At 56.6% G+C, this 17,203-nt stretch overlaps 1 protein-coding gene and 2 long non-coding RNA genes across 6 annotated transcripts in view, besides 8 other annotated features; 1 reads left to right on the forward strand and 2 right to left on the reverse strand.

Annotated features, from left to right (window-relative positions):
* RASA3 (RAS p21 protein activator 3) overlaps positions 1 to 17,203 on the reverse strand; it is a 154,841-nt gene that overhangs the window by 128,303 nt on the left and 9,335 nt on the right. The gene's annotated exons all lie outside the window — the stretch shown is intronic.
* RASA3-IT1 (RASA3 intronic transcript 1) lies at positions 229 to 3,694 on the reverse strand. The gene is made up of 2 exons (NR_046544.1): positions 2,556 to 3,694; positions 229 to 1,683 (listed from the first exon to the last, which is right to left on the reverse strand). It is a non-coding gene; the product is annotated as an RASA3 intronic transcript 1 (long non-coding RNA).
* Positions 3,987 to 4,622: an enhancer, noted in NCBI's record as "H3K27ac-H3K4me1 hESC enhancer chr13:114875547-114876182 (GRCh37/hg19 assembly coordinates)". NCBI's record gives its function as "activates a minimal SCP1, AML or CMV promoter by ChIP-STARR-seq in naive H9 embryonic stem cells {active_cell/tissue: H9 hESC(naive)}" and the evidence as "EXISTENCE:reporter gene assay evidence [ECO:0000049][PMID:30033119]".
* Positions 5,294 to 5,448: a silencer, noted in NCBI's record as "fragment chr13:114876854-114877008 (GRCh37/hg19 assembly coordinates)". NCBI's record gives its function as "represses an EF-1alpha promoter that drives an FKBP-Casp9 reporter gene in an ReSE screen in K562 erythroleukemia cells {active_cell/tissue: K562}" and the evidence as "EXISTENCE:reporter gene assay evidence [ECO:0000049][PMID:32094911]".
* Positions 6,523 to 7,118: an enhancer, noted in NCBI's record as "NANOG-H3K4me1 hESC enhancer chr13:114878083-114878678 (GRCh37/hg19 assembly coordinates)". NCBI's record gives its function as "activates a minimal SCP1, AML or CMV promoter by ChIP-STARR-seq in naive and primed H9 embryonic stem cells {active_cell/tissue: H9 hESC(naive and primed)}" and the evidence as "EXISTENCE:reporter gene assay evidence [ECO:0000049][PMID:30033119]".
* Positions 7,324 to 8,523: an enhancer, noted in NCBI's record as "BRD4-independent group 4 enhancer chr13:114878884-114880083 (GRCh37/hg19 assembly coordinates)". NCBI's record gives its function as "activates an origin of replication core promoter dependent on BRD2, P300/CBP, MED14 and CDK7 cofactors, and independent of BRD4, by STARR-seq in HCT116 cells {active_cell/tissue: HCT116}" and the evidence as "EXISTENCE:reporter gene assay evidence [ECO:0000049][PMID:35650434]".
* Positions 8,747 to 9,611: an enhancer, noted in NCBI's record as "H3K4me1 hESC enhancer chr13:114880307-114881171 (GRCh37/hg19 assembly coordinates)". NCBI's record gives its function as "activates a minimal SCP1, AML or CMV promoter by ChIP-STARR-seq in naive H9 embryonic stem cells {active_cell/tissue: H9 hESC(naive)}" and the evidence as "EXISTENCE:reporter gene assay evidence [ECO:0000049][PMID:30033119]".
* On the forward strand, positions 9,480 to 10,537 carry LOC124903221 (uncharacterized). Its single transcript, XR_007063883.1, has 2 exons — positions 9,480 to 9,735; positions 9,816 to 10,537. It is a non-coding gene; the product is annotated as an uncharacterized LOC124903221 (long non-coding RNA).
* Positions 10,650 to 11,602: an enhancer, noted in NCBI's record as "H3K27ac-H3K4me1 hESC enhancer chr13:114882210-114883162 (GRCh37/hg19 assembly coordinates)". NCBI's record gives its function as "activates a minimal SCP1, AML or CMV promoter by ChIP-STARR-seq in naive and primed H9 embryonic stem cells {active_cell/tissue: H9 hESC(naive and primed)}" and the evidence as "EXISTENCE:reporter gene assay evidence [ECO:0000049][PMID:30033119]".
* Positions 11,603 to 12,554: an enhancer, noted in NCBI's record as "H3K27ac-H3K4me1 hESC enhancer chr13:114883163-114884114 (GRCh37/hg19 assembly coordinates)". NCBI's record gives its function as "activates a minimal SCP1, AML or CMV promoter by ChIP-STARR-seq in naive H9 embryonic stem cells {active_cell/tissue: H9 hESC(naive)}" and the evidence as "EXISTENCE:reporter gene assay evidence [ECO:0000049][PMID:30033119]".
* Positions 13,388 to 13,729: a silencer, noted in NCBI's record as "fragment chr13:114884948-114885289 (GRCh37/hg19 assembly coordinates)". NCBI's record gives its function as "represses an EF-1alpha promoter that drives an FKBP-Casp9 reporter gene in an ReSE screen in K562 erythroleukemia cells {active_cell/tissue: K562}" and the evidence as "EXISTENCE:reporter gene assay evidence [ECO:0000049][PMID:32094911]".

Consider the following 17,203-nt stretch of genomic DNA (forward strand, 5'->3'; position numbering starts at 1 on the left):
CACACGGCAGCCTCCGGATGGGCGCATGGCAGAGCGGCACACGGCCTCTGCTGTCTTTTCCGATGAACTTTCAATAATACATAGAAACATATGGGTTTAATGTTTCCTGTGTGTGTTTACAGATGTGTGTTTAATATTGAATATGTGTGCGCGCACCGTATCTCCACGGAGCAAAATAAGAATGGAGAGAAACTAACGCAAAGAAAGACGCTAACGTGCCAGGCTTTCAGTGGGGACAACTTCTCATTCTTGAAAACTTAAAATTAGCTTTTCCAAAACATCTATAAAGCAACAGAAATGCTTACAAATTTAACAGCATTTGAGATTATTGTAAATAAAAATGATAGGTCTAATTTTTCTTTTGCCAACATTTCCTTCGTTTATATTGACAGTCAACTCATTACGTGTAACAATAATGGCAATTTTTCCTAATGAAGTTTAAACATAAAATATAAAACAATGTAATTCGGAGCTTTGTAAATAAATGCCCATTTTACTTAGCGTAGGTGTAGAAATTCACACCCAAGTCCCACTTAGAACACGCTTCCCGCTCCGGAGCATAAGCCCCTGGCGTGGGGAGGGGTTGGGCTCTGTCTGAACTGATCACCACCACTGCTTTATTAATTGTTTTTGGCTTAACACCTGAACCAGCTGGGTGCAAACTATGACACACATTACAAAACCACCTGTCCATCCTCCAGGCACATGGAAGGCACACGGCCCACAGAAACCAAACTATATGCTGCGTCCCATTTAGAAAGCTCTGCGTATGTTTAAAATTAAAAGTCTTATAAGGAAACTATTTTTCTGTATTTTAAAATGTTCTTAATTACAAAGAAATAGATATTCATTCTAGCCAGTTAAGTCTCCAGGTAGAAAAAGTTAACTCTTTTCCCTCCCTCAGCCAGGCCCCCCCAGAGCCACATCTGGCAAGGACGGCTTGGTGTGCACGCCCACACCTCCTCTCTCGTGCACGGCCACATCTGGATCAGATGTGCAGGCATTTCAACATGGCAGTCTCCATCCAGCCACGGTCTGCGGACAGCGTTCAGGCTCCAGCCTTGACCCTGGGCACCTTGACCCTCACGGGGTACGTGGCCTGTGTGTCTGCCTTTGTGTCCTGGTCCTCGCAGGGGACAGGCCTGTGTGTCCCACGTTCGTGTCCTGGTCTTCGCAGGGGATGTGGCCTGTGTGTCCCTCCTTCGTATCCTGACCCTTGCGGGGGACGGGCCTGTGTGTCCCTCCTTCGTGTCCTGACCCTCGCGGGGGACGGGCCTGTGTGTCCTGCCTTCGTGCACCCTGACACCATGGGTCTGATTTTCCCACGCTGGAGGTCTGCTTCTGAACAGCTGCATCTCCTCCTGCAGGGGAAGCTGTCTGTTCACCCAGGTGCCTGTCCTGTCTGAGGGCTGGGCTCTTCCTACCCAAGGGTTGGGGGCTGGCCTGTCCCTCATGACCCAGGCAGGCGGCCAGGGCTCCCCGGAACTCCAGGCTGCTGCGGGTGTCTGCTCTGCCCTGGGTGAGGCTCTAGAAGATTCCTGTGGAAGCGACTGTGTCTAGGGGAGCCCATTCCCCAGTTTAAAGGACGTCCCCCCCCATGGCTATCCACATGCCCAGTCCTCTCAGGAAGTTCCAGGCTGCCAGGATCAGAGGAAGCAGAAGCCGCTGTCCTTCAGCAGGACCCTGCAAAAGCAGGATGAATCAGCGGGGCCATTCAGAACAAGGTTCAAATTACTGCTGCACTTTTCAGAATGGAGCCAGGCTCAGTGTTTCAGAACCAGAGGCTGACGCGGATCAGCTCGCACCCAGCCTGGGACCTGAGCCAGCCCCTGAGTGCCACTCTCCACGGCCGCCTCAGAGGGTAAGCCTCTCCAAGCCTGCTTCCTCGCCGGCATGGTGGGGGTGGCCCTGCCATCCCCTAGGGGCTCTGCGGGATCCCCTGAACACTACGAAAAACCTGAGCCCCACTCCTGGCCACTGGGTAAGGACCTCTCCGAGCCTTTCTCCTTCCCATTCACTCCCACCCCCAGGCAGGAGCGACCAGTGCTGAGAAGTCCTATCATCCCACAACCCATCATCCTCCGTCATCCCCTGTCCGTCACCCCGCAGCTGTCATCCCCCATCACCCCGTGTCTGTCACCCCGCGTCTGTCACCCCATGTCTGTCACCCTGCATCCGTCACCCCGTGTCTGTCATCCCCGTCCGTCACCCCATGTCTGTCACCCTGAAACCATCACCCCATCTGTCACCCCACATCCGTCATCCCGTGTCCATCACCCCGCGTCCATCACCCCCATCCGTCACCCCATGTCCGTCACCCCATCCATCACCCCGCGTCCATCATCCCCCATCCATCACCCCCCGTCCGTCATCCTCCGTCCATCACCCCACGTCCATGATCCCCCGTCCGTCACCCCGCATCCATCACCCCATGTCCATCACCCCACGTCCATCACCCCATGTCCATTATCCCCTGTCTGTCACCCCGCGTCCGCCATCCACATCCCATCACCAGGTGCTGTTTTCTTGGTGCTAGAGCAAGGTGGGATTCACACCTTGTGTGCACAGCTTCTGAGTCACTGGGCGGCTGGGCACAGCCTAACTCAGGAGCAGGGACCCACGGAGGGTGTGGCGACGACACAGCCCTCAGCTTGCTCTCCAGGAGTTCTTCTGATACCTCGAGGACACTCTGGACCCTGTGTCTGGGTCCCAGCCCTTCCGTAACAACGTGGCTCCTCTGAATCAGTCACAAGGAAGATCCAACTTAACACAGAGAGTTTTTCCCAAACAGCAGAACTGGCAGCAACACAGGCATCCTGCAGTTCAGTCCACTGCATGCAGCGTGCAGGTGTCGGAGGGCGAGGCTGCCGTGGGCTCCCGGCGGACGGTGGCAGGGCAGGCCCAGGTCTCTATCACAGCAAGGCCTCTCCACTCGGCCCCCTCCACCTGTTTACAACCTCAAGCTGGGTCAAAACCCCAGGGGTACTCAGAGGGAGTGTTTCTCCCCAACTGGATTCCTTAAGCCAGAGGGCAGGCGGCAGGGTCCTGGCCTGACAAACACACACGGGCCCCCGAACACGACCGGCTCCGTGACCGTCACAGGACGTTCAGGTGGCTTCATTTTCAGTCCACGCCTCTGGTGCCAGGGTCTTGCTTGGCACTTGTGTGAACGGCGACCACGTGAAGCCTCTGTCTTGAGAAAAGTGTAAACAGCAGCTGCCTTTCAAGGCACTGAGGCCTTCCTCGAACTCAGCTCGTTTGTGCTGCGTGGTTCCCAGTCCAAACCCTCCTGTTCACAGCCTCCTCTTGCCTCAAGCATCTTAGAGCTCCACTCCAATCCACACCCCAGCTGCCTTTTACAAAATCCCAAGCCAATGACAGCTTGAAAATAAAGTGAGAAAAACACCGACCAACATTTACTCAGCACCTACGGTGGGCTGCGGACGTTGACACAGGGTCCTCTCTAATCTTCCATACAGATCAGCCATGAGGGCCGCGGAGAGGAGAAAAGCACAGCTGAGCTGTTTTCTCTTAAAGCAACATAAACGTCAAAGCAAAACTGGAGCCCAGGACTCTCTGACTTAAGCTCATCCTCCTTCTGCTCCATCCCGGCTGTGCACACCTGGAGACCAGGCCCTCGAGCCTCCAAACGCCGTGAGCAGCCTCCTCCTGCTGTGGCTTCCAAAGAGACGTCACCAGAGGCGGGGCTGGCGCAGGGCCACGAGGCAGGCGACTGGGTCTCTTTGACCGGGGGTGGCCTCGCGGCGGCACGAGACTCAGCATCGTGTGGGTCTAGCTCTGGGAATCGAGGCAGCCCCCAGAACACCCTTGGGGCGCAACTTCCCGGTGAACGTCCCGTCTCCTCAGCCACCCACAGATGCTGCCACAGCTGCACCCTCAGGGCAACGAGCGTCTGGCGGAGCCCAGTGAGAGCCGTGAAACACAGACCTCAGGGCCAGGCCCTCTCCCCATCACAGAAACCTGACCAGTCACAGGTGGCTGCAGCCTGGGTGGTTGGTAAAAGAAAAATTATTCCTTCTATAACCAGAAAAAAATAGTGAATCAACAGACACAGAAATGCTCAGAATAAAACAAAAAATCTAAGTCAGTGGGACAGAATTCAGCAGTCCCCAGGGGGGCCTGGAAGCTGGACCCCTGCTCTGGGTCTACGGGCTTACATGGCTGCCAGGACCAGGGAGAGACAGACCCGGGCCCCTGACCATACCCTGTGCTGTAACGCCTGCAAGGTAGATTTTAAGTAATTTAAAAATTATCAAAAGGATAACATTTCATGCCTGTGAACATTACGTGCAACTCAAATCTCAGTGTCTGAAATAAGGTGAAATGGATACAGTCCGGCTCACTGGACGGCACCGTGCCTGCGGCTGCTTCCCTGCACAGCTGCATGACCCCTGGCCCTACACAGGACAGGTTCTGCGCACTCGGCCGCCACCTTCCTTACACGGCTTCTCAGGAAAGCAGCAGGCAGCTGTGGCCCAGCGTGAGCCGGCAAAGCACTTCCCTCCCAGAGCCCCGTTTCCTCATCAGCAACAAACACAACAAGCTTCCTCCCCTGGCTGCTGTGAGGACCGACAGCCCCTCCTGGCACCTGCACAGGGCATGACACGCACATCACAGCCGCCTTCACCCGCTCAGCCTCCCGCGTCCCCACAGCCCGGACCGGAGCCTCAGAGCACCAGGACACACCCATCCGGACACCGGCAGGTTTGACACCACAGACTGTGCTTGGCTGGGGAGTGAGAATCCTCCTGAGAGAGCCACGGTGTCCCAGGTCGGGGGCAGCAGAGTGAGGGTCTGGCCGTGGGCCCCGGTCGGGGGCTGAGCCACGCTCTGGTCAGGAAAGACATCGCCAGACACCTGTCATAATCCAGGGCTGCTCAAAGTAAAAAAAAAAAAAACCTAAAACTGCAACATGGAACGGCACAAACGAGCTGCAGGCCGAGTTCTAACGGGCTGAGCCTCAAACCAGCTGCAGGCCGAGTTCTAACGGGCTGAGCCACAAAGAGCTGCAGGCCGAGTTCTAACGGGCTGAGCCTCAAACCAGCTGCAGGCCGAGTTCTAACGGGCTGAGCCACAAACGAGCTGCAGGCCGAGTTCTAACGGGCTGAGCCTCAAACCAGCTGCAGGCCGAGTTCTAACGGGCTGAGCCACAAACGAGCTGCAGGCGGAGTTCTAAGGAGCTGAGCCTCAAACCAGCTGCAGACCGAGTTCTAACGGGCTGAGCCACAAACGAGCTGCAGGCCGAGTTCTAACGGGCTGAGCCTCAAACCAGCTGCAGGCCGAGTTCTAACGGGCTGAGCCACAAACGAGCTGCAGGCGGAGTTCTAAGGAGCTGAGCCTCAAACCAGCTGCAGACCGAGTTCTAACGGGCTGAGCCTCAAACGAGCTGCAGGCCGAGTTCTAACGGGCTGAGCCTCAAACGAGCTGCAGGCCGAGTTCTAACGGGCTGAGCCTCAAACGAGCTGCAGGCCGAGTTCTAACGGGCTGAGCCTCAAACGAGCTGCAGGCCGAGTTCTAACGGGCTGAGCCTCTAAGGAGGGAAACGTCACTTCCTGCCTCACACAGAGCCCAGCGTCTCCATGTCCACTGATAGCCTTGGTATTTGCAACTATGTCCATGACCATCTCTGTTTCTCCAAAACAGCCTCTAGCTACATAAACTGTTTAGAAAACCTCATGCGTAAAGCAGAGTATGTCAAACCTCCATCTGTGGTCAGGAGTTAGGACATCCCCAGCTGCAATTTGAGCAAAGACGGCGCTTCCAGAGGATCATCGGATCCTGTGTCTTGGTTGGGGTTGGGGCCCATCAACTTAAAATAGCTTCTGTTTATGCTGGTGAAGGAGGCACAGACTTCACCCTATCTAATTCCAAGGAACAGGCGAGGGTGGGAGCTGTAGCGGAAGAGACAAAAGCAAAAGGCAGATTCGCCCCTTTGTGTGGTCCCGTAAGTGACACTGTCCCTCCCTCTCCCTGGAAACAGCAGCCCCCAGGCACCCCCCCCAGCAACTGGGACAAGGGCACACCAGGCTAATTTTTAATCAGATGGATTTAGTGATAGCAAATAAAGAGAAGGAGAACAAAACCCTCAGCCAGGCTATTGTGAATGGGTGTTACCAAAAAATGGCATTAGCAGGGCACCAGGGGCCAGGCCAGCTCCAGGCAGCCCCGCATCTGCTCAGCAATCCCCGGAGTCTTCTAGGGGGCCTGGGGCAGCCGGAACCTGGCCGGGTGGAGGATTTCTACCACGAGAAAGTCAGGGCCCTCCCCGAAGGAGCAGAAGCTCTGCGGGTGACTGTTTGGGAAGCTGGTCTGCTCCTGATACTCTGCAGGAAGAGAATCACACTCTTTAGACCGGGGTCTCAGATTTCAGCCGGACGGGAACTCTCTGCAGGGCCGGTGGAAAGAGATCGCCAGCCCCAGCTCTGTAGGGGTGCGGCCTGCCTCGAGCACTTCACACGCGTGCCCGGGGATGCTGGTGCTGCAGGTATGGGGACCCCGCTAGGAGAGCCCCGGGTTAAGGGTTGGTAACTGGAGAATGGGGTGGGGGTATGCCAGCTCTCCCTGCTTGCCCTGGTCCCACACACTCAGGCCTGTGTGGCCAGCGTGGTCCTCCTTTCCCACAGCCAAGGTGCCCCGACTGCCAGCGTCCACTCCCCGTGGGGCCGCAGGGTACACCAACATCTGAGGCAGAGGCACCGCTGTGGGCTCATCTCTCAGCTCAAAGGGTTTCCAAGAGAATCCTCAGCAAAAAAGCAACACTCGCCGTTCAGAGAGTGAATGAGAGGCCAGCAGGGGGCTGGGAAGGTGCTTAGCTCAGGGAGGGCTGGAGGGTGGGACTAGGAGGCACTAAAGGCCTGGGGGCTCAGAGAAAGGCCCAGCCCATCCCAGCAGAGGCCGACCAGGACTCCAGAGCCCGTGGAGGCCCTGCCATGCACGGGAAGCCTTTCCCGACTTGGGGGCAGGAGCTGGAGGGCTGGGATGATCCTAAGGGGATGCTCGGCCATAAGCCACATGCCAAGTCCAGAGCCCAACAGCTGCTGTACCTCCTGGGCTGTTTCCACGGATGAGGCTTCTCTGAATGTAAGTTTGTCTGCTCAGCCACACCGGCCTCCTCCTGGCACATCGTCTCTCACAGGCACCTCCTTCCATGGAGACTGGGGGCCTCAGACGGCTCTTCCCGACAGGGCCCTGCACTTGGGCAGATGCACCTGTGGCTTGAGCTCAGCACAGCACATAGTGGCTGGCAAGGAACGGAAGGAGAATTGGAGAAATGTATCTAAAATGTCAAGCAGACCTCTGCTACACTCACTGGGAAGAACCATGTTGCTTCTGACGAATTTCTTAAAAAGAGAGAAAGATGCCAATGAGAAAACCAGAGGGGACAAATGCTACCCGGGAATGTAAAACAGTTGCCATCAGAGACTGGCTGGCTCACATTGTGTCCACCAATCCACCCACCACGGCGAGTGATGTCCGTACAGCTCACACCGCATCCATCAATCCACCCACCACGGCGAGTGATGTCCGTACAGCTCACACCGCGTCCATCAGTCCACCCACCATGGCGAGTGATGTCCGTACAGCTCACACCGCGTCCATCAGTCCACCCACCATGGCGAGTGATGTCCGTACAGCTCACACCGCGTCCATCAGTCCACCCACCATGGCGAGTGATGTCCGTACAGCTCACACCGCGTCCATCAGTCCACCCACCATGGCGAGTGATGTCCGTACAGCTCACACCGCGTCCATCAGTCCACCCACCATGGCGAGTGATGTCCGTACAGCTCACACCGCGTCCATCAGTCCACCCACCATGGCGAGTGATGTCCGTACAGCTCACACCGCGTCCATCAGTCCACCCACCATGGCGAGTGATGTCCGTACAGCTCACACCGCGTCCATCAGTCCACCCACCATGGCGAGTGATGTCCGTATAGCTCACACCGCATCCATCAATCCACCCACCACAGCAAGTGTCTGCGATGTCTGTAGTGTCTGCGATGTCTGTAGTATCTGCAATGTCCATGCAGCTCTCACCATGTCCATCAATCCACCCCACCACGGTGAGCGTCTGCGATGTCCGTGCAGGGGAGAGAGACCTGGCCTATCCTCAGCACAGCCCATGTGACGTTAGAAAGGCAACCGCAAATTCAGCTGCGGAGTGCAAAACGAATTTCCTCCTGTCACACGCTAACTTTCTGTTCTGGATTTCCTGGGGTTTCCTTTATTAGACTTGAGTCCAGAACTCCTCTAGAAACATTCTCTGGGATATCTTGACCTGGCACGCAGAGGGGTGAAGGAACGGGGACACGGATGGATGGAGGGAGATGAACTAATCAGCAAATGCTCCTTGCACATTTCCTAGCTCTGTCAGCCAAAGTGAGGTCTGACCACAAAAGCTACCCATTCACTTGCTAAATGGTGCAAAATGGGCCCAGACCCTCATTTTACCTTTACTTAAATAACAGCATATTCTCGTCTGGTCTTTAAACCACACAGGCCAAAATGAGTTGAGCACTATCACATATTTAATTGACTCGTAAAAGCAACTTGTTTTTCTTCATCCTTCGCCGACCTTTGTTTATGGGTAACCCTTGATAACATGTGGGCAGGGTTTCAGTGTAAACCCGAGGGCAGGTTAAACACGCTCCCTCCAAAGCTTACTTGGCTTTGATTTTTCAACCACCCGCCCTCATGTGCAGGGACAGGGCAGAGTCGTGACCAACAGTGGAAAGACCCATAGCTCCCAGCTCCAGGGACGACGCGGGGGTGCTAAGCTGGTAAGCTGGGAAATTCCCGGGCACGACCCCTGGCCGTGGGTGAAAGCACCCCCAGCCCCACCCCCAGCTGTGAGATGCTGCAGGTTCCCCAGCCCCACCCCCAGCTGTGAGATGCTGCAGGTTCCCCAGCCCCACCCCCAGCTGTGAGATGCTGCAGGTTCCCCAGCCCCACCCCCAGCTGTGAGATGCTGCAGGTCCCGGCAGGAGAAGGCTTCTCCACAGAGAGGCCGCTGAACAAGGCACAGGGCCAGGTCTGGCCGTGTAAAAATACTTGGAACCCATGGGGGGCTTTGTGTGTGGTGTCATCGGCAGCTTCCATTATGTCCAGCGGTAACATGTTTACGGTCCCTGTGCCGCCGTGCGGTAGCAGTTTTCCCGAGTGTCTCCTGGCTGGGACGGCTGGTGAGGATGTGAGTTCAATAGATGAACACCCCACCTTGGTGACACAGAGGCTGGACAGTCACACCGACCCTTGGCCCGGGCGAGGCCACGTGTCCCACAAAACATAAGGCTTGGGTTAGTGTCGGGCACGCGGGGGAGGTGCCTGCCTGCGTGAAGACTGGTCACAAGACAACTTCCCAGTTTAGAAAATGGTTAACTGATTCATTAATACTCACTTCCTGTCGCAAGAGACTCATGCCCTAGAGATAAAGCCGTCGGAGGCAGAGTGCAGGCCTCGAAGCAGCTGGTCATGTCCACGCCCTCTGCAGGCCTCGTGTCCCCCTCGCTGTCGCCTGCCGATTTGGTGGCTCCTCTCATAACACACAGCCTCCTGTGTATGTTTTTACCCTACAAACGCTCTCTAACCGGTCCAGAGGTCAGAAACAGCCGCAGTCTCCTACCTCTATTGCTTCTCAAGGGAAAAGCACAGCCTGGAATGATGAGGAGCCCCCACGCCTTCTCAGTCTCCTGTAACGACGTTGCTACAGATGTATGTGTTTGTGTGAAGCTGTATTTAAATGTGAGATTATTCTTCTTGGTTAATATTTTACTTTCTGTCATAACCAGCAGGCTTAAAGAAGAAACCCAAACGCTCTGTGAATGGGACATGTGCTCAGAGGCGTCTGCAGTTGAGGCGGGTGACGTTCTGGGGTCCCTGGGAAGTTGTCATCACCCTGCTGACATGAGTGTGGATGTTGAGGCCTGGAGGGTGACAGGTCACACAGCCAGAGCCTGGCAGCAGCGCAGGGGCGGAACCCCGGGTCCCCTGTGGGCCTGTGCCCTCTCGGCCAGCCTTGCAACGCGCAGCTAACGCTCTTCAAGAAAACATTCTCTGGAGGAATCCTGCTGGTCCTGAAGTTTTTGGCCTTGAGAAGGTCATCACAGACACCCCTCCCCTCGGGCCAGGCCTGCTGTCTTGTCTAAGGGGCCCTATTTTATCTGAGGTGATTTGCAACTCTGAAACACACATACATAAAATAGAAATACCGTCCTCACTATTAACCTAGAGACCCCCATCCCTACCCCTCCCTATGAATGCTTTTTCATAAACATGCCGCATTCTGAGGAATCCGAAAGACTCCAGCGTAGGACAGACCGCTGTTCCAAGCCACTGGGAAAGGGGAAACTGGTGACTGAGCGGCGCCCGTCAGAGCCATTAAAACGTGAGGGAAAACTGCACCTTACGGCACACGAACCCTTAGAAGAGGCAAAACACTACTGAGTTAATGCTTAATTTATTTGTAATGATAAAAGTTTTTATCACTTTAAATAAAGTTATTTGAAAAAAGTTATTCAATGGCAGCCTAATAATTTTGCTTAATGAAAAATTAACTCTGCAAATACAGTTTCCACTATTCACATGGAGCCTGCAGGTTTGGAGAATCCTCTGCATCAGTGTGGGTGAGCACGTGTGTGAGGGGTGCACGTGTGTGAGGGGTGCACGTGTGTGAAGGGTGCACGTGTGTGAGGGGTGCATGTGTGTGAAGAGAGCACGTGTGTGAGGGGTGCATCAGTGTGGGTGTGCACGTGTGTGAGGGGTGCACATGTATGAGGGGTGCACGTGTGTGAGGGGTGCACGTGTGTGAGGGGTGAGCACGTGTGTGAGGGGAGCACGTGTGTGAGGGGTGCACGTGTGTGAGGGGAGCACGTGTGTGAGGGATGCACATGTGTGAGGGGTGCACGTGTGTGAGGGGTGCACGTGTGAGAGGGGTGCACGTGTGTGAGGGGTGCATGTGTGTGGGGGTGCACGTGTGTGAGGGATGCATGTGTGTGAGGAGAGCACGTGTGTGAGGGATGCATGTGTGTGAGGAGAGCACGTGTGTGAGGGGTGCACGTGTGTGACAGATGCATGTGTGTGAGGAGAGCACGTGTGTGAGGGGTGCACGTGTGTGAGGGGTGCATGTGTGTGAGGGGTGCACGTGTGTGAGGGATGCACGTGTGTGAGGGGTGCATGTGTGTGAGGAGAGCACGTGTGTGAGGGGTGCACGTGTGTGACAGATGCATGTGTGTGAGGAGAGCACGTGTGTGAGGGGTGCACGTGTGTGAGGGGAGCACGTGTGTGAGGGGAGCACGTCTGTGAGGGGTGCATGCAATGCTCCTGTATGCACATCTGTGGGTGAGCACGTGCGTGAGGGGTGCACATCTGTGGGTGAGCACGTGCGTGAGGGGTGCACATCTGTGGGTGAGCATGTGCGTGAGGGGTGCACATGTGTGAGGGGAGCACGTGTGTGAGGGGTGCATGCAATGCTTCTGTATGCACATCTGTGGGTGAGCACGTGTGTGAGGGGTGCACGTGTCTGAGGGGTGCATGTGTGTGAGGGGTGCACGTGTGTGAGGGATGCACGTGTGTGAGGGGTGCATGTGTGTGAGGGGTGCACGTGTGTGAGGGATGCATGTGTGTGAGGAGAGCACGTGTGTGAGGGATGCACGTGTGTGAGAGCACGTGTGTGAGGAGAGCACGTGTGTGAGGGGTGCATGTGTGTGAGGGGTGCACGTGTGTGAGGGGTGCATGCAATGCTCCTGTATGCACATCTGTGGGTGAGCACGTGTGTGAGGGGTGCACGTGTGTGAGGGGTGCATGCACACACACCTGTAAGCATGTGTGTGAGGGGTGCACGTGTGAGGGGTGCATGCACACGCACCTGTGTGCACATGTGGATGTTGCCGTGTGCACGTGTGCACACCAAGTGTCCGTGAGTGCACGGGAACAGCCGTTTAGAAGTGCCTTAATCTTCCCGAGCACAATAGTAGCTCACCTCTGCAAGGAGGCTGAAAATTCTCATTATGAGTCTCATAAATACGTGGCCACGTTCATGGGTTTGTCTTATTTATCCCTTACTCTATAATAACTTGGAAGGCACAGCCAATATTTCCCTTATATCCTGGGACAGCCCCAGTTCATGGCTCCCGACGACTGCAGCTGCCTCCTGGGAACCCCAGGGGGGCAAACTCAGGCCCACCCCCGCCTGTGTGACTCAAACCCCCCAGCCAAGTGCCTGTGGGAGGACATTTTAGTGGGTGGGGAAGCTTCTGAAAAATCACTTTACTCTAACTAATATTTGTAATTAACACATCAAGTAAAACTAAAAGCTTTTGCCTTGCCGTTGTTGCCTTTTGGTGGGTGACCTCAAAAAGTCATCCATCTCACACTGACTCTATCACATCCCAACTCTAGCCCCAAATCCTAATAAACACACCAGTTAAGAATGCATGGCACATTTTTACAAGCCTCACAACTTTCTGATTAGATGCATAGAAATGTCCCAAATATTTCTGAAATATTTTATTTGAAAACCGATGTCACCGCCACTTTTAAGCCACAGGCATTACACTAAAATCTGGACTAGCGTCTAAGCAAGTGGCAGCTTTTGAGCTCCGCACACTCCGTGTGACCATCCACAAATCTATGATGAATTATTAACCAGACCAGGCTAGCCCACTGCCTGGCCTTCTCTGCTGAAAGTCAGCAGCTGTATCCTGCCTGAAAAACACCAGCATTCTTGTGTTCATAAAACCCGCTGGTTCCAGTGCAGCTACCCAGAGGGAAGCCTTGGGTGTGGGCAGCGACAGGGGTGTGGGTGCCACCGTGGGGTCCCCCAGAAGGAAACCAGGGGAGCACAGAACTAAATGGTCACCCATGACAATGAATCGTGATCTGGTGGGAAGAAATCAAAGTGCTTTTATTTGGAGATGAAATTGGCTGCCTGCCCCTCCCTCTCCACCCCCCGCTTTCCTCCTGACCCACCCACCCCAGCTCTTTTCCCCGGCCTGGGAAGGGCACATGGAGGGCAGAAAGGGCTTCCCTAAAGAAAACACAGAAATACACTTTATAAAGCAAAATAAACTTAAAAAAAGGCACTTAGCAAAAATGTAGTGAGAAGTGTTTTTTCCTTTCCAGTCTTTCATTTTCACTCAGCATTTCCATAAACACATTCTTGGGTCCAAATGCTGAGAAACTCTTTCTCTAAATACTGGAGGAGCGCTAAATGGAGCAGGAAATGATGGAGAGAGAAAGGAATGCCACTGATTCCAGACGGATGGGACCAGCTGGGGAATTCAGGAAGCGGTACGGAGGTCCCGGAGACAACTGCTCACGCCTCTGAGGGGCCGATCGCTCAGGATCCCCCAGCAGCAGCGAGAGAACCAGCAGGGCCCCCCTCCCCTCTCCAGCCAGGCGTCGATCAGTGCCCCCCTCCCCTCTCCAGCCAGGCGTCGATCAGGGCCCCTCCCTCTCTCCAGCCAGGTGTCGATCAAGTCCTCACCTTCTCTCCAGCCAGGCGTCGATCAGGGCCCCTCCCTCTCTCCAGCCAGGCGTCGATCAAGTCCCCCCCTTCTCTCCAGCCAGGCGTCGATCAGGGCCCCCCCTCCCTCTCTCCAGCCAGGCGTCGATCAGGGCCCCCCCTCCCTCTCTCCAGCCAGGCGTCGATCAGCGCCCCCCTCCCCTCTCCAGCCAGGCGTCGATCAGGGCCCCTCCCTCTCTCCAGCCAGGCGTCGATCAAGTCCCCCCCTTCTCTCCAGCCAGGCGTCGATCAGGGCCCCTCCCTCTCTCCAGCCAGGCGTCGATCAGGGCCCCCCTCCCCTCTCCAGCCAGGCGTCGATCAGGGCCCTCCCTCCTCTCTCCAGCCAGGCGTCCATCAGGGCCCCTCCCTCTCTCCAGCCAGGCGTCGATCAGGGCCCCCCCTCCTCTCTCCAGCCAGACGTCGGTCAGGGCCCCTCCCTCTCTCCAGCCAGGCGTCGATCAGGGCCCCTCCCTCTCTCCAGCCAGGCGTCGATCAGGGCCCCCCTCCCCTCTCCAGCCAGGCGTCGATCAGGGCCCCCCTCCCCTCTCCAGCCAGGCGTCGATCAGGGCCCTCCCTCCTCTCTCCAGCCAGGCGTCGATCAGGGCCCCTCCCTCTCTCCAGCCAGGCGTCGATCAGGGCCCCCCCTCCTCTCTCCAGCCAGACGTCGGTCAGGGCCCCTCCCTCTCTCCAGCCAGGCGTCGATCAGGGCCCTCCCTCCTCTCTCCAGCCAGCCAGGCGTCGATCAGGGCCCCCCTCCCCTCTCCAGCCAGGCGTCGATCAGGGCCCCCCTCCCCTCTCCAGCCAGGCGTCGATCAGGGCCCTCCCTCCTCTCTCCAGCCAGGCGTCGATCAGGGCCCCTCCCTCTCTCCAGCCAGGCGTCGATCAGGGCCCCCCCTCCTCTCTCCAGCCAGACGTCGGTCAGGGCCCCTCCCTCTCTCCAGCCAGGCGTCGATCAGGGCCCTCCCTCCTCTCTCCAGCCAGACGTCGGTCAGGGCCCCTCCCTCTCTCCAGCCAGGCATCAATGCCGTTCAAGGGGTCTGGACCAACAAGCCCTGGTGGAGAACAATCCCCACAGAGAAACTCCGTGTGACCCTGCCCCACAGATAACACGGAAAGGGACTTTTCATGGTCAGAACCTACTGATCTAGAAGTGATCAAACACTCTCTTCTCCTGACTTCCTGTCACCAGGCACGGGTGAGGAGGAACACCAGCAATTTCTTACTAATTACGGCTCAAGCACCAATGTTTGTCCACCGTTTTCTTCTCACACAGATCTAAGAGGATCAAGATGATTCCCAGAGTAACATCTGTCTCATTTGAATTCCAGTGTGCTTCCCCGAGTGGCACAGCCGAGCTAGTCTTGGGCTCTGGAACAGTCCAAAGACTGGGGACTCCCCTGTAACATGCAGCCACCTAAGAGAACAGGTCAGTGACAAGTAGGGGGAAAAGCTATTAGGAAAAAGAACAAGTTGTGGGCCTAAAAACAAGATGTTTCTTATACAAATACAAAATACTAGAAAATTGCACAGCAGTTGCCAGAAAAGATCCCAAGTTGTGGAAAGTAGAAAGGCAGGTGCATCCCAGCACTGCGGCCGGGGGCAGGAGGCCACCCGCGGGGCATTCGGACCCCCGTGCCCCAAACACATCCCGCCGAGCCTCCTGGGACCAGGCCCCTGAGAGCCACGGGGCTGTCTGGAGAGTGTCCCCAGCCTCAGCCATGTGGGGTAGAATAAAAATGATTAAGAACTGCTTGAGAAGTTTTAAACTGCATGCAGCCTACTCAGCACAGATTGGCCCGTGTCTTCTGCCACGGATCTCGGCTAAAGGAAAAGCCAACAGAAGCCCACCGGAGCCTCCCTTACCTCCACCCAACACTGCACATCAAGCCGTGCAACCCTGCCCCAAACGGTCCCAGGGTCATGGGTGTGCATACATGTGCATGTGTGCAAGCATGTCACAAGAGGAGACCTCCGAGGAACATAAGGATGCGGACTCCTCCCTCAGCCTGAACCTCTGTCTCTCAGGCACAGCTCGACCTTTGACCTTCGGCTTCCCCAGAGAAAGACTTTGAACGCTTCACTCCTCTGTAGCCCTGAGGACGCGGGCGGCCAGACCAGTCCCTGAGTGCGGCACCATGGCCGTGTGAGTTTATGGCCCATTGCGCTAGCCCTGTACAGTGAATGAGATACTAGTTGTTTACAGCTGTGAGCATACACAGGCCCCCCGCCACACGCTCAGGAAGGAGCTTCTCGGAATCTCTCTCCTGCCTCGCACCATGCAGCCGGGCTAGCAGGTTTGTGGGCCGAGTGCAGGAGCCTGCTCCCACTGTCACTGCAGGTGACTGGCTGAGGGGCACACAGGGCCCAGAGGCTCCTACCTCCAGCCACCGCCCCTAAACTAATGAAGATTCCAGTCCGTGGGGCCCACCGCAAATCCCAGAATCTCAGCAGTCAGTCTTGGACATTAGTTGTCGGGGAGGGAGAGGATCTGGGAGGCCAGGCGTCCCTTCCAGGCTGCGCAGCCGGCCACGGCGGCAGAGCTTCCCCAGGCTGCTCCAGCCTTCAGGGCCCCTCCGCGGTCAGCCCCACCCCCGGCCAGCAAGGCTTCCTGAGAAGGCTGAGCTTGGCACCTACAGACTGGGGGGGATCTGGAATTCCCCAGAAAAGCCCTCATCCCAAAGCCCATGGGAAAACCAGCCCTGTTGGAGCATCCCACCCGGACCTCGGAGGAGAGTCCGGCATGGCCAGTCCCCTGGGCTCTGCATGCAGATGGTTTTCCCAGAACCGGTTCCTCTTCCTGAATCTCTGCTAATGGCCCTGTCCATCAGTCTGACCCCAGCCTTGGAAACCCCCATGCAGCCTGGGCCAGAATGAAGTAGGCAACCAGAGGCTCAGGGTGCTTGGGGCCGAACCACCCCCAGCTCCACCACCTCCTTCCTGCCCCCGAGCCGTGCCTTCCCCCGCTGGGTGGGCTTGCTCTGCATCTGGGAGCACCTGGGCCCGGGGGTGCAGGTGGGTTCGCCCCTGCCCATTGGAGGGAAATGTTCTGACATGGAAGCAGAGGGCACAGCATTCAGGAGAACCAGTGGGGCCTCCACACAGGGGGACGCAGCTAGGAAGGGGGTCTCCGGCCGGTCGGCCCCGAGTGAGGGACGCAGCTAGGAAGGGGGTCTCCGGCAGGTCGGCCCCAGCCCTGACTCCAGGCCTGTGCATCTCACTGCTGCCCAAAGCAAGGACCACTGGCTGCCATGACAGCTGCCACAGTGCTGAGCAGGCCCAGCCAACGCTGCATGAGAAAGGGCTCTAGGAAGGAAAAGGCCGCGGCAGCACCCAGCCTCCTTTCTGAGGAAGCGATTCCACGAGCCACAAAAGCGCCTGGGCTGTGGTCATCAGAGTCCACCACAAGACAACCTTCCTGGGTCCCTACACCCTGGACACACCTTCGGTGCGTGCCCGGCATGGAGACGCTCCTGCTGCCGGCATGGCTTTGGGGACAGCACTTTGCTCCTGGAGCCTCAGAGGAGGGGGGCCGGAAACATGTGTCCTGCACAGTCACCACCGGACGCCGAGGTGGCCGCCCCAGCAGGGGCCATGGGCTGAGGCTGGTCCTCAGGCTCCCAGAGCAATGGCTGCTCTGGGGAAGAGAAAACACAGAAGTGACAAGATCAAGGCAAACTA

This window comes from Homo sapiens, chromosome 13 (assembly GCF_000001405.40).
Source record: "Homo sapiens chromosome 13, GRCh38.p14 Primary Assembly".
NCBI lineage: Eukaryota > Metazoa > Chordata > Mammalia > Primates > Hominidae > Homo > Homo sapiens.